Source organism: Homo sapiens, chromosome 5, assembly GCF_000001405.40.
Source record: "Homo sapiens chromosome 5, GRCh38.p14 Primary Assembly".
Lineage (NCBI taxonomy): Eukaryota > Metazoa > Chordata > Mammalia > Primates > Hominidae > Homo > Homo sapiens.
In genome coordinates, this window is record NC_000005.10 from 116,360,629 (window position 1) to 116,376,068 (window position 15,440).

The 15,440-nt window shown below is 41.7% G+C and overlaps 1 long non-coding RNA gene across 1 annotated transcript, besides 1 other annotated feature; it reads right to left on the reverse strand.

Moving 5' to 3' along the window:
* Positions 80-876: an enhancer, noted in NCBI's record as "H3K4me1 hESC enhancer chr5:115696405-115697201 (GRCh37/hg19 assembly coordinates)". NCBI's record gives its function as "activates a minimal SCP1, AML or CMV promoter by ChIP-STARR-seq in naive H9 embryonic stem cells {active_cell/tissue: H9 hESC(naive)}" and the evidence as "EXISTENCE:reporter gene assay evidence [ECO:0000049][PMID:30033119]".
* On the reverse strand, positions 6,788-13,942 carry LOC101927190 (uncharacterized). Its single transcript, NR_104675.1, has 3 exons — positions 13,854-13,942; positions 12,351-12,461; positions 6,788-9,845 (listed from the first exon to the last, which is right to left on the reverse strand). It is a non-coding gene; the product is annotated as an uncharacterized LOC101927190 (long non-coding RNA).
* Between the last annotated feature and the right edge of the window lie 1,498 nt (positions 13,943-15,440).

The window sequence follows — 15,440 nt, forward strand, 5'->3', positions numbered from 1 at the left end:
TCCAGATCTTGGTCTGGTTCCCAGGATACTGAGTAGAAGTAAAAGTGAAGCAGCACCACTTGGAATCCCTGCTTCTGGCAAGGGTCCAGGGCCAGCCCAGGCACTGCATGGGCTCTCTCTGCCTGTCTACCTGTCGTTCTGTCTCTTTCTCTGCTTCTGATTTTGAAAGACCAAAAAGAGCATGGATCCTAGAGTCACAAAGTGTAGGTTTCAGATCTCAGCTCCTGCTAGATGTGTCATCTGGCAAGTGCCTATTCACTTTGGAGCCTCAGTTTCCCCTTATAAAATGTGACAATTCACACATTGTTCCAAGGAGTAAATGACATGATTCAAAACGCAAGTCAGCTCTGCACCTCTCTAAGGACTCTCTACTCAACCCTGAAAGGAAAGTAGTGTCATCACTGTCAGCATCCCTGTTTTATGGAGGAGGAAACTGAGGCACAAAGATGTTAAGTGACCTGTCCATGGTCTCACAACCAGTAAGTGGCAGAAGTGGCCAGAGTCCAGGCAGGGAGTCTGGCCCAGAGCCGGCGCAGGGAAGCCTGCTCTGCTGCCTTTGTAAAGCTTGGGTGCTCCCAGCGCTGGGCCTGGACAGAGGAGGCACCCACTCAACAGCAGCCCTGACTCTTACCACCCCAGGGATGCCGAAGCTGCAGCCTATTCCAGCCGCCGTCTGGAAGAACAATGGCCCTGGGGGCCAGCAAGCCTTAGAGAACAAGAGCGACTCAAGGAGAGAAGGCCGCGGCAGGCGCTGAGGCTCTCACAAAAGTAAGGGCAGCAGGGGCAACCCAAGGAGGTGGGGAAGGGCACGCGGGAAACGAGGTCGGCGCCCAGGCCTGCCTAGGCCGGCCTCCCTCCCTCCGCAGGTCCTGGGGCTCCTCCGGGTGGCGCTCTTGAAATCCATCGTCACCTTCCAAGCGGCCCTCGCGCGACTGCAGCCAGCCCCGGCGGCTCCTTGCCTGCCTGCGTGCCCTTGCGGCGGCTGCTGTCTACCCTAAACAGCTCCAGATTTAGGGCTCCTCCATCTGATTGCTCTTCCCCAGCCGCCTGGTGCTTTCAAGTGGGCCCGACACGCTCCCGGGACTTGGCCACGGTCCCTGCATCTCCTGATGAGAGCCCGCGCTTCTAATTCGGGTCCGCCCCGCACTCTTCCCGCGCCCTGCCCGCGCTGTCATTACGGCGCTGTCGCTGCTCCCACAGAAAGCAGGCGGCCGCAGCTCTCGCTGGCCCGGGGCCAGACCCAGGCCCGCTACGCCGCCTCGCGGACTGGATCCACCCCTTGCAGACAGGCACCCTGCTTGGGTGTTGTTCCTGAAGGTGCATAGGGAGGCTCCTGGGAAGACAGGGAGACTTTAAGAAGGAGAAAGGTGCGTTTACAGGATGGATTTGAAAGAATCACACTTTACTGGTCTGCCCAAGACACCTCACACCCAAAAGAAGCAAAGAGGTGTTCTGGAGGAAGGACAGAGGGAGAGGCTGCAGGTGCCCTGTGGCTGGCCATGTCATGATCTGACTCCTTGGCAGTGTCTTGGTACACGATTCCTTATGTATTTTGCATGCAAATCTAGTCAGGTTGGGCCTTGAAAGGAGCCCTGCCTGGTAGGCTTCACCCCCTTGGGCAGTCTGGGTGTGACTCTGGCTCAACAAGTTAGTTCTCTGCTCTGAACTTATTTTCCTCTTATGAAAATGAGGATAACGGTGGCGCTCTCGTGTGGAAATGACAAGTCACCCAAACTACCTGGCACATAGTAGGTCCTCAAGAAATGATAGGCCCTTCTTTGTTAAGGTCTCTGGCCCCCATACTACTCCTATGCATAACTTTTGGTCCATCTGTCTCTCTTACCTTCTCCCCAAGGCCAGCACCGAAGTGGTCCTCACACTGTGCTAGACTCCATTGACTTGAGGAGTTGGATTGCTGCTAGCTAGCCAGTGAGGGCAGAGAGGTCTATGTCTGAACCTCGGGATATCTACAGGAGTGACTTTCAGTGTTCTCTTGCCTCATAACTATGGCAGACCCACAATTCAACAACCATGGCATGGGAAGGGTATGTAAGGGATCAGACCTCTTGGGGATAAGGGTCTCTGTCACTGCACAAAACAAGCAACTTACACTAACTAAATGCTGACCGAGGATGAGGGAAATGGAGAATGGGTGGTAGAAATAAGTGGTGTATACCAAGTATGGTCTTGAGATCAGCTGAGGCAGGGGAATCAGAACTTGTGTCACTCATACTCTTACACTAAGTCCTGGTAAAGGCTGCAGCCTTGAAAAAGACTCAGATTAGGTTTAGAGGGTCCATGACAGATATGCGAGGTACAAGGGATATCTCCTGTGCCCCATTTCAAATCCTCCCAGTGTCACTCCCTACTCTTCTGACCATTACAGTGGCCACTTCTGCACAGGTGTCAAAACAGCTTTGCTCTGCAGCAGTGTGGCAATGTCTGCCCCAGGACCCCTCTGAAGCTGCTGTGTAGAATGTCTGTAGAATCCACTGGGCACTCACCCATGGACAGCCTGGAGATGTGAGGAAGTTAGTGTCGAGAACCACCTTTGACCAATGGAAGGCAGGATCCTATGGATAAATGCTGAACCATTTTACTCCCCAAGCAGATAAATAAAAGCTGCATCCTATCAGGATCTTTAGAAGGTCCCATGGAATTGACCATCTGTTGTCCTAGGAGCAGCCCACTCACTTATGCATCTTTGCCTTTCCCCTGTTTCACTCCTCGGATCCTGTCTCTGGATCCCTTTGATCACTTTTTATAAAAACTACCTTCAGGTAAGTCTTTGTTTCAGGCATGGCTTTTAGGGGAATCCATGCCAAGCTAGCCATTTATAAAGCTTAAGGACAAAAGGGAAGATGCGAAGAAAATATTTTCACAAAGTGGGCACATTAAAGAAGTGTCATAAAACTGCCAGGTGTGCTGAGTGCCTATTTTGGGTGTGCAGTAATGTGATGAAGATAAACTTATTAGCATCTTTGTGTTTTCTGCCAGAACTTTGAGCACCTCAGGTGTAGTCATAAGATACGTGGATATGGACTTAATCTTTAATGTGCATTTACCAGATGAGTTTGACAGAAAGAGAAAGGTTAGAAAAACAGCAGAATGCACAAAGCAGTAATTATAATGGTGAACAAAGGAATTAAGCAGAACAAGAAGGTAAGTGAGGATAAAAAGAAGAACATATATAATGTATTTTTTGTATATTTATAAAGACGTAAAAACAGTAGGGTCAATGGATTGATTTCAGAGCATGGGGAGTACTGACATACAGATTTTGGAAGTGGTGCCTTAACTGGTGGTGACAGGGTTAGGGACACAATCATGAGAGTGTGGCCTAGGTGAAATAGAGATTAATGATTGTTGGAGGTGAGGAGGTCAGGGAACTCAGATGGCAAGGTATTCCATGAGTCCCTATTCTACAAGGTTGTTAAAGTCACCAAGAATGGTGATGGGAATAGGGGATAGGAACAGGTGTTAAAGTTATTAATGAATGAAGGGAGTGAGTTGGTAGATGACAGTTTAGCAGATATGGATGGCAGATGGTCAAGTTTGGAGACATGAATTTCAGAGGATCTAGGGGCTTTGAAGGAGGGGAGAAGATAACTGAATTCAAAGTACAATGTGACATTTATTCCACTTTCAGTCTGACATAAAGAGAATAAGGTGGGACAGGAATTGTCTCCATTTGAGAGGCTGCAGATGAAGGGGACAGCCAAATTTCCATTAAGGCAAGATATAAAGAGACCTTATGAAAAGGGACAAAAGATATAGGGGAACTTGGTGATGGCAGATCCTGAGTCTCAGGATGCATAGTATGCAAAGGTTGGCAATGTGGACAGGGAGTGAGAAATGGAGATAATACTTGCCTTATAGAACTGTTGCAAATACGAGAGATAATTTTATGTAATGTGGCCAGTAGAATGTCTGGTGAAGATGATGATGATGATAATGATGATGATGATGATGATCATTTCCAGAAGAACAAGAGTTAAAGGGGAAGCATTGGTAATGTCAGAAGAAGCGCTCATTTGGGAATCAAAATGTTCTCAAGTCTCTTCCTGGCTCTACTATTAACTAGCTGTGCAGCCTTAGGCAAATCAATCACCTTTGTTCTGTGGGCCATGTATAAAAGGAAAGAGTTAGATAACATCAGTGATTGTCCAGTAGGAGGTGGCAGGGTGGTCATGTGTCAAATACATATGATAATTTCCTAAAGCACTTTTTCAAAACATGTGTATTTGGGGTCCCCCAATAGGTCAAATTTCATTTTCTGGGGGTAAGGACCCAGGAAGTGCATTTCAAAAAAGTTTTTCAGGTAATTTAATAAATCCTCCCTCCACCCTCAGCCCATTTTTTTTTCCTTCAGGAAACTGCTTGCCAAGAAGCTAGGCTTTTCCCTCCCAATGTCATCACTCAGAAAATGACAGTGAGAAAGACATGGTTTGTCCATCAGAGCTGGGTCAGAGCATTTATCAGAAGAGACCAGATGGCCTGAGGTCTTCCCTCAGTGGGTGGATGGCCAAAGGGCAAGTAGCAATATTTTTACAGCTTCATTCTTTGGGCATTTCCCCCATGCAAATGCATAAGAATGAGAAATAAGTCAGCACAATGCAGGGATTTTTTTGTTTGTTTAATGTCAGATCACATCATTTGCTGCTGCACAGCCAACCATTGGCTTGCTTTGAGGAAGGTGGCTCCTTGGGGAGAAGGGGATCTGAGAGAAGCACAGCAAGACCAGGGCAGAAGTGGGGAGTGAACCCAGCACATAGAGCGCAGACCAGTGTCTTACTCATCCCTGTATCCGCGGCACCTAGGAAGGTGTGCAACTCATAATGGGAACTCAACAAATTTGTTAAACTGAAATCAAAGGAAAAGCAGCACCAGAACAAAAATGACAGCTATTTAGGGGTATTCACTGGTTTTCAACTGCTGAAAAGAGAACAGCTGCAAGAAAACTATTGTATGCTGAGCCAAACTAGCATTAAAGTTGAAGGGCAAAATAAAATCACTGACATGCAAGGACTGGAAAGATTACCAACCACAGACCCTCTCTAAGCAGATACACTCGAGAATTTCTAGCGAAAGAAAAAAATGAAGCTAAGAAAGTGGTCGATAAGTAACAAGAAAGTGTTAAACAAACTTGTAAAATTATAAGTTAAATCTAAAAAGTTGTTGATAGCACAATGGAAAAAATAATTAATAGAACTAAACTAAAACTAAAATCTCAAATGATCTTAACATAGTGGCTTTGGAATGGGGGGATAGGATATGGGGAAAGTGAAAGTAGACTAATTTGGAATTGTGTCAAATCAATAGGTAACTATCCAGGGAGAGTATAGAGATGTTGACTAATACCAGATATTCATAGAAAAATATATGCTTAAATGTGTGTTAAAATTTAAGGATAATCACCAAGAAAAAATAAAAATAAGATGTATAATGTCCAACGTTCTCGAGAAAAAATTCAAAGTATTTAAATGTAAACAAATGGTAAAAAGGGAAGACTAACAGCTTTGCTTAAGACTAGGATAGATGGGCTGGGCACGGTGGCTCATGCCTGTAATACCAGCACTTTGGGAGGCTGAGGTAGGCAGATCACCTGAGGTTGGGAGTTCGAGACCAGCCTGACCAACATGGAGAAACCCTGTCTCTACTAAAAATACAAAATTAGCAGGGCGGGTTGCACATCCCTGTAATCCCAGCTACTCAGAAGGCTGAGGCAGGATAATCGCTTGAATCCAGGAGGCAGAGGTTGTGGTGAGCTGAGATTGCACCACTGCACTCCAGCCTAAGCAACAAGAGCGAAACTCTGTCTCAAAAAAAAAAAAAAAAAATTAGGATAGATGGAAAACATAAAATAAGATTGTGGAAATATATCCAATTATATTAGTAATTACAATATATGTAAATGGGTTAAATTTGTATGATTATTTGACAAAAACATTAGGCTTTACCACTAGGAGGTAAGCGCTATGAGGTCTCAGATCATGTTTTATATTCTCTTTTTCTGTCATTGTCCTATCATATACATCATATATCATACAATGATGAGAGAGAGAATACAAGAAATATCTTATTGTGGTTTTAACCTGCATTTCCTGATGACTAGGAAATATTAATATTTATATTGTATATATTAATATTTGGCCAATGCATTTATAAAAAGTTGAATATCAATATTGAAACATTAATATTAAAATAATATTAAATATTCAACTGCTTTTTATAATTTTTTCGAGACAAAGTCTCTGCCACTCAGGCTGGAGTGCAGTAGTGTGACATCAGCTCACTACAACCTCCGCCTCCTAAGTTCGAGCAATTCTCCTGCCTCAGCCTCCAGAGTAGCTGGGATTACAGGCACCCGCCACCATGCCCAGCTAATTTTTGTGTTTTTAGTAGAGATGAGGTTGGACCATGTTGGCCAGGCTTGTCTCAAGCTCCTGACCTCAAGTGATCCACCTACCTCAGCCTCCCAACCTACTGGGATTACAGGCGTGAGCCACCATGCCCAGCTCCCTTTTTGTAAATTTATTGTCCAATCAAATATCTACTTTTGTGAAGTACTTGTTTAAATTTAGATTTATTTTATAACAGGTTGTTTGTCTTTTCATTAATAATTTGTGGAAATATTATATATATTCTAGATACATGTACCAGGAAATTTTAACACAGATTTCTAAATAACTTCTGGGTTAAAAAGGAGATCTTACTGAGATTACAAACAATTTGGGACTAAATGAAAATGTGAGCACAGCACTTAAAAAAAAACTACACTCAGAGGTTGTATACCAAATTATATTCAGAGGACATTTTACAGCTTTAAACGTCCTAATTTGACAATGAGAAACGTTTATAAAAATGCATTAAACTTATGCATTAAGAAGCTAGTGACAAATAATAGGGTAATCCCTCACCAAAAAAATAGAAAGAATACATAAACATATGAAATGCAGGAATTAATAGAGTAAAAGCAAAAAAGAAAAATTGATCAAGGCTGCAATTATGAAAAAGGAGGACATTCACAAAACAATGTTAGAAACAAGAAAGGAGACTAAGATCCTGTTAGGAGATTTAAAACATTAAAAGATATCATGTTCAACTTCATTACAGTCAATTCGAAAATCTACATTAAAAAATGGATAAGTTTCTAGGTAAATATAAATTCTAACACTGATTGAAAAGAGGTAATTACAGAAACATTACAAAGTTAATCAAAGCTAGCCAGAAGGCTCAGATCACCAATAACAGATAATTTGGGGACTGTATCACTTCTTTCAGAACATAGAATAAAATGAGAAGCTTCTCTACTCATCTATGAGGATTGCATAACCATATACCAAGACTAAACAAAGGATAATGTGGGAAAAGAAAACTGTACATCAATCACATTCCTGAACAAAGGTACACAAATCCTAAATAAAACATTAGCAAATTAAATTCTTTTGTACATTAAAAGAATAATACATCTTAATTAAGTAGGGCTTATCCTTGGAATGCCAGCATTTTTCAACATTAGGAAATCTATCAATGTAATTCATTTGATCAAGAATTAAGAGGATAAAATCATTACATCATTTTGATAGATTTTGAAGAAAATTTTAATGAATTAAAGACCCATTAATGATTAGAAAACTTAAAATAGAACTCAAAATGAAAACAGCTTTATTTTAATAAAGGAAAGAAACCCTATGCAAATATCATACTCAATGGTGAATCACCAGTTCGAAATCAGAAACAAAGACAATAAGGACACACTATTATTGCTCAAAATCCTCACTAATGGTATAAAATAATAAAAAGAAATAAAACATAAATGTTGAACAGACAAAACTGTTTTTACTTGCAGACGTGATAATTTTCTATTTAGAAAATCCATGCAAATCAACTGAAAAATGATTTCAACTAATAAGAGAATTCAGTAAGTTGGCCAGACACTATACCCAATTAATAAGCAATTGTGAAAATGTCATGAGGAAAAAAAGATGACATTTACAAAACTGTAAGCTACCGAGGAATAAACTTAATAAAAAAAAAGTAAGACCTACATGGAAATAAATCAGAAATGATTTTCTAAAGATTTAAGGACACCTAAAGAAGAATTACTTAGGTATCAATGTACTTAGGAATTCTATCTGGGTGAAATTGGTCCACATTGTAATATACAACCATTGACTTCCTATGAAGACCACGAGTTTACTTTTCCTCTTATAAATTTGCCAAAATCTAAAGTAACAATTCCATCTACCTGTCAAAATTAGATATTTTTTGCTTTAGCCCCTTATCCTGATGATCCAAGCTGTTGTATTTTTATTTGTTTTGATTTGATTTGCTAGGTTTTGCAGAACTGAAAGGTGTCCCTCAAAATGTCCTCTAACCAAGTAGTCACTGGTCAGTTACAGCATGTCATGCAATTGTTCTAGTTTCTAGAAAGAAAGAATGGTGGAAGGGTGAAGACAGCTCTTGGCTGGTCTTTAGGCAGCAGGGAAATATAGATTGGCTACAATATGACTTGGTAATGCCAGTGATCCTGGGAACCATGGATTTAATGCTATCAAAGAATACAGGGGGTTTAAAGGAATCCCTATTCTCTGGTTATGCTGAGATAATTGTCTCAGCATCTCTTGTGGACTGTGTGTGCATTTTCTCTGTTACAAAGAGAGGCTGGCACTGAGAAATGCAGCTATCAAGCTCTCATGGTTTATACATATGTGCCATATATTTGAACCTAGCCTTGCAGACTAATCAGGGCCTAAGTATCATGTCAGAGCTGGGAACTCCAAGATATCAGGACAGGAGATTTTGGGAGTCCATTTTCACAAGGGGCTTTGAAATTTTGAGAAAGAAACAGTCAAAGAGACTTTGATGTTTATGGCACTTGGAACACTGAGAATCATGCAGCTGAATACAGAGAGAAGATGAATGCGGATCCCAAACTTTGAAGTTTAAGTGTTAGGATAGAGAAGTTTACCGATAAGTTAGTAGCTTATCTTGAGTCAGGAGGAAGTCACAAAGACATGCACCTTTTTAAGGCTGGGATGACCTGAAAAAATCGTGGTAAAATAAAGCACTCTAACACCATAACTCCGGATTCCAGGAGGAAACTACCAAGTATGTGGTTGTAGGATTGCCGCTTTATGCTTGCTTCTTCATTTGTTGGTTTGTCCAGGGAATGGTGATGGCATGTCTACCCAGTTCCAGTCCTTAAAGCACAGTTCAGGCTGATAAGTCTAGAAATAACGTCCTACCAGGAACAGTTACAGCTGCTTTGGTGATTTGTCCATGTCTGCTAACCACATTTCTCTACACTGATAATGGAGACTTTGTAGCTAAGGTGATCTTCAGTTGGGGATAAGAGGCCAGGACCTCATTCTTGTTCATTGCCCTTCTCCCAGTTCCACTCCTACCCTGAGAGTGAAGCATGAAAACACCTGCCTACCTCAGGCTCATTTTGAGTGTGGCAGATGACAGGCAGCAGCAGTAACAGTAGTAGGTAGATTTCTGGTTTTAGAACAAAAAACAACAAAATATCCTGTTTGACTAAGCTGGAAGGAAGCTGGCGAGCTCTGGAACAGGTGGGCTGTTAATTTTCCTTCTTTATACTCAGTGAACTGGGCTTTTGTGTTCTACTCCACGAATCCCGCATCTCCTACCTGGTTTGGTGTAGTGAACAGCCCTGTCTGACACCCAGGCAAGGGTTTTTTTTTGAACACCAGCAAGCCAGGCACTGTTTCTGCTCCATTTCAGGTTTTGCATCTGATCTCAAGTTCACTGTTTAGCTTTTCCTTCAGTCAAGTTAGGATAATGACATGTATTTTCTTTGCTTGAAGATACTTTGCATCCTGTGGGGAAGGAGGCTGAATAAGTTAGTTTCAAAATATGATGAACAGGTCCATGCAACAAACGGAGGAGCCCATTATTCAGCTGTCCAGATTACTTTTAGGTAAAAGAAACCACAGCCACAATCTCTCAAGTGGAGACTTTAAAGCAATAACATCCAAGCACTTAGGTATTTTAAAACCACAATTTAAAATTATAATCATATTAAAAGAAGAACAGGTTTGGCAGTAATGAGTTGTTTTTTGTTTTTTGTTTTTTTCAGAATTCTTATTTTGCATACGACCCTTAATGCACCTGCCTCACCTTCTCTTTGGAATGTAAATTGTCAGATTATTCATGGGTTTTTGACATAAAGTTCATTTGGCTCTGGCCACCTTGGAAAAGGGAGACTTGTTTAATTTTTTTTTTCTTTTAAGTTCTACATGCTCTCTGGGGCATTTGGAAAGGGTGGTTGAGTAGAATTCGGTATATTTGTAAGACTTTAAAAAACATCATAGGATGAAAAGGAAGGCCACAAAAAGGAAATACTCTTTGCATAAAATTGACGTTCCTGACTTTGCCAGATTTTGTTCCAGAGGTTAATAACCTTCTGTTTCAAAACAGGAAAGAAGCTGAATCACAGGGAGTCACCTCCACATGGGCTTTGCTAGATAATTATTCAGCTGACAGTTTAGAGAGCTTTATAAACCTTGCTTCATGGTCTCTGAAGACTGAATTCATTATGTCTTAAACCAAAAAAAAAAATCCCATTGGCATTTTCAGATCTTCATACTTTGTTTAAATATGTGGTTTACCTGTTTAAAGACTTGGCAAAGAGGATTAAAAAAAATGCCTTTCTTAACAGTTACATCTCAGACTTTAATTATTCCTATTTTTGATCTTCTAGCTGTAGATCTAGAATTAAACAGTCTTCCTTTAATGTGGGTAGCTGCTTTAAAAAAAAAGAAAGCGTTTTTCAACTTGTAGACTTAAATTTTTTTGTCTGTATGAACAGCTTGGGTGGAGAGAGAAAAGAAAGTGCCAATTTATGGCCTTTTTTTTTACTGGGAAGCCGATGGGTAACTTTTTGGAAATGTCTGGAGTATCTTGTGCTATACAGACTGGTAAAGGCAAGAGGAGTGCTTAGAGTTGCCCATGTCTCTCACCAGAGCTTTACATGAAGATGGACTTTGCTCCCAAGAGGCTGTGTGGGCCGGGAGGGCTGAGGTCTGATAGGGAGAGGGTATTGTGTGGTGCTTGTAAGTTTTACCTAAGTGGCAAAAGAGACAATTTTACCTTAGAGAACTCTCTTAACTCATCTCCCTTGTTGTTGTAGCTTTAAAAAGATAGCTGTTGAGGGGAAATATTTTAAAAGCCCAAAGCAGTCTCCTAGGCACCAGCCATATTTAGGGAGAATTAAGAACATAGCAGAGCTGCCCTTTTCCTTGGGTGATATTGGTGGGGTTGGCATATATGAGTATTTGGGTTTCTTATAGTTAAGTTTATATCTGTTTGTAAAATGTGAATATGTATTTCTCTCTGTGTGGGGAAGGGTGGATATACAGAAATGTGAGTAAACAGATAGTTCCAGAAAAAGAGGAACTGTCCCAAGAACAGGAAGGATGGAGCCACTCTAGGATCACAATAAACAGACAGGAAGAGAGTCCAACTGTGTGTTGCAAGATGATGGATTAACTCAATGTCCTGAGCAAAGAGCTGACTGGCCAGTCTCTATCCCCTCTCTTTTGAAAGATGAAACCCCTGAAGAACCCTGCTAATTATGAGATGTCACTCAGGCAAAAGGAAGCAATAATAGAAGAGTCAACACATATGCTGCTAACTGTAATCCAGACACTGTTATGAGTGCTTTACCTGCATAAATTCATTGAATCCTCACAACATCCCTATTAAGGAAGAGTGATTTTTACCCTCATTTTACAGATGTGGACCCTGAGACAAGTGATAGAGCAGCATTTTAGCTCAGATAGTCTAAGACCAGAGTCCATGCTATTAATGACTACAAGTCTAATAGTAAGAAAAAATTAAGTAAACAGCAAGTCAAGGTGGGAAATGCTGTGACAAGACTCGAAGGACATCAGATGGAGCAGAGGAAGTCCCACAGAAGGAACTGGAGATATTCAAGAGACAAGGAGACTTTCTCTGTGTGCTCCCAGAACCAGAATCCCTACTTAGTCCCTGCCAGATTCCAGCTGGATGTGGCCTCTCTCTAGGGGCAAGAGACAGCCAGTGGGAATCCTGGGAAAGTAGTTCCTTCTCTTTTGGCTCCAACTCACTCCCAGCCTGACTACATGTGTGCAACTGGGACATGCACCCCCTGCCGGTGTTGGATTTGGAGTCTCTCAGGTACTGCCCATGGTGCAAGTTGAAGATAGGTCCTAGGAGAGGATGAGCTGCCTGCTTGTGGTTGCCATTGATGAGGAGATACCAAATGGTTAACGGACTTGCCTACCTAAGCCATCAGGTCTGTGGAGAGAAGCGCAGTGAACCCAGTAGCAACAAATACTTACCTACAGAACACTGTCCCCATCATGACCCTAGGAAGGCTTTTACCTTCTTCTCTTTATAAAGAAGGACATGTAGGCTTGGAGAGGTTCAACAGCTTACCCACAGTTCTGCAGCTGCCAAACAACAGAGCCAGAATGAGTGAATCATGACTGCTCCCTTGAACTGCCTAGTTCACCCACAGGTGCCACACTAAGACCCAGGCTATTCTTCTTTGCATGACATTATACAACTCCTTCTTTTCTTATTAAGCTTGGGTGCATTTGACTGCCCAAACTCTAACTAAAAGTTATTTTATGTTTCACATGGAACACTAATGAACATAGGTGTGTTTAAAATTATCAGAGCTTTGAGGAAGGTGGCAAAAATGACTCATTTCTCACCTCTATCTACAAATGGCAGGGGTGGTACTTTGGGGCTTTGGAGTGAAGTGAAATCACAGTTGCAAAATTCAGAGGTGTTGGCTTACAACCAGGGAACTGGTTAATGCCCACTCCAAACCAGAAAGTTCCACAGCCCCTACTCCTTCTCACAGATGAGACATGTAGGTCAAATCAAAACTTAGCTCTGGTGTTACCTTGTTCTCATGGGAGAATTTCAGGGGGCAGATAAAGCATGGGTTTTAGGATCCTTGGGATACAACATAAGAACTACACATTACTAAATACTTTCTACATGCCTTTTCCTTGGCATGAATTATCTCATTGAATTTGTACACCACACTTAGGAAGTGAAGACTTTTCGTAGGCCCATTTTATAGATGAGGAGACTAAAGTTAAAGTAGATGAAGTAACTTATTCAAGTTATGTGACCCCAGAGCTTAAGAGGATAACTGTTAGAAATATTCTCTCTTCCACTTTGATTACCTTTGTGATGGCTAATACTGAGTGTCAACTTGATTGGATTGAAGGATGCAAAGTATTGATCGTGGGTGTGTCTGTGAGGGTGTTGCCAGAGGAGATTAACATTTGAGTCAGTGGGCTGGGAAAGGCATACCCACCCTTAATCTGGGTGGGCACCATCTAATCCACCTGCCAGCATGGCCAGGATATAAGCAGGCAGAAAAACATGAAAAGGCTAGACTGGCCTAGCCTTTCAGCCTACATCTTTCTCCTGTGCTGGTTGCTTCCTGCCGTTGAACATCAGACTCCAAGTTCTTCAGCTTTGGGTCTTGGACTGACTTCCTTGCTTCTTAGCTTGCAGATGGCTTACTGTGGGACCTTGTGATCACGTGAGTTAATACTACTGAATGGACTCCTATATATATATATATATACACACTCATGCAATCATATATATATATTTATATATATCATAAATCATATATAATCATATGTTTATATAAATCATAAATATATATATTTATGACTGTGTGGGTGTATATACATATGGATACATATATACATATACATATACATATATATATATATACACACACACACACATGTATCCTACTAGTTCTGTCCCTCTAGAGCACCCTGACTAATACAACGTTACATTACACGTACCTGTTACACTGGATGGAGTACTTGTGGTCTGTGGTCTAAAGGGAAACCTGATTCTGCCCTGTTTCTCAGGCTCTTGAACCTTGGCCTCTGAGGCCGTGGGAGTCCTGAAGAGGGAGCTCACTCAGCCCCAAGAGGAAGGAAGAACCTCATCATTTCCCCAAATGGAGCCTCCCACTTCCTCACCTCCAAATGGATTTGGAAGAACTCCTGGGTTTGTTTGGCTTGGAATTAAGGGTCTGAAAGATAGAAAATGATTTGGGGGCTGTATAATTTCGAGTCTGGTCAGGGGCCCCCCACTGTGGGTAGAATATATTTTTAAAGGCCAACTCTGACTGACTGGGTGGAACCTTCAGTTCTTTCTGTGGCTAAAGGAAAAGCTTTGTGAGCTAGAACTAGCCACGCAGGAATATGATGTCAGGTGCAGTTTCCCCCACAGGGCAAAATTGTAATGCAGAACATGGGATTCAGTCAAATATATCCACTTCTACAACTTGCCTGGAGTTCAGGGCTAAACATGAAGACAAGCAGCCTCTAAGTTTTCTCTCCAAATCATGGTGCAGCATTTTGGAAGTGAGCTAATCTTTAGAGACAGATGATTTGATAAATGCAATCTCTTTATTTTGTTCATTTTACAACTGAGGATACTGAGATGTGGGGGCTTGGCTTTTCCAGGGTCATTCCTTGAGTGACAGGTCTGGGACTTGAACCCATGTCTCTTTAACTCCCTTGTCCAAATCCCAACAGTTGCTTATGTCCAATGGCTCACTCATGCCTTTGTGTGCTTGATGCTCTCGCCTAGCTCAGGGACATTGGGCAAATCCATCCTCATAGTCTCTCTTCTCAGAAGAGAATATGATGTTCGGGCTGTTGTGTAGGCTTAAAAAATGATTAGTGTCTCATAGGTGGGCGTTGAAACACCTAGTTCCCTGCTTCCATGAAAATAAAACAGAAACTTCTCTTGTTGCAAATCTTTCCAAAAATGTGCAGCCACATCCATGCCTTAGTAAGTAGAGTTTAATGAGCATAACATTTTCACATTATTCAAGGTGCACAATACCTCAAGGTCATCATCCTAGAGGTCTCTGTGTGCAGCTTATAAGTTATAACCTAGTTTGACATTTTTAATTGAGTTGTCATTTGATTTTTTTGTGTTTATAAAAGTAGAAAGTAAAATATCTGGTTAATTGAGAGGTATGGGTTTGTTAAATCCTTCTGATTAGTTGAGGTCTTTTCACAGTATATGGACTGCTCAATCTTTGTCCTACCAGCCTCCTCAGACAAGTTGCAAAGAATATTTATTGACATAGACTTTTTGATATTTATAAAAATACTGTGCATTCTCTTTAGCCGAGGCCATGTCCATCGTAAATCAAACAGGAAAAAGATAAAACACCTAAGAGACTGACACCTAGCCTAGAATATGAATCTCCCTGACTCTCCAGCATGCTCTCATCTTTTGTCAGGTTCTGAGAGGCTGACGGAATCAGGCAGAAAAGGATTTTGACCTCTTCCCAGACCGGGTCTGCTGTGGTGCCCAGTGTTGCTGGCCCTGCCCAGGAGACCTGAGAGCTGCCTGGCATTACTTCA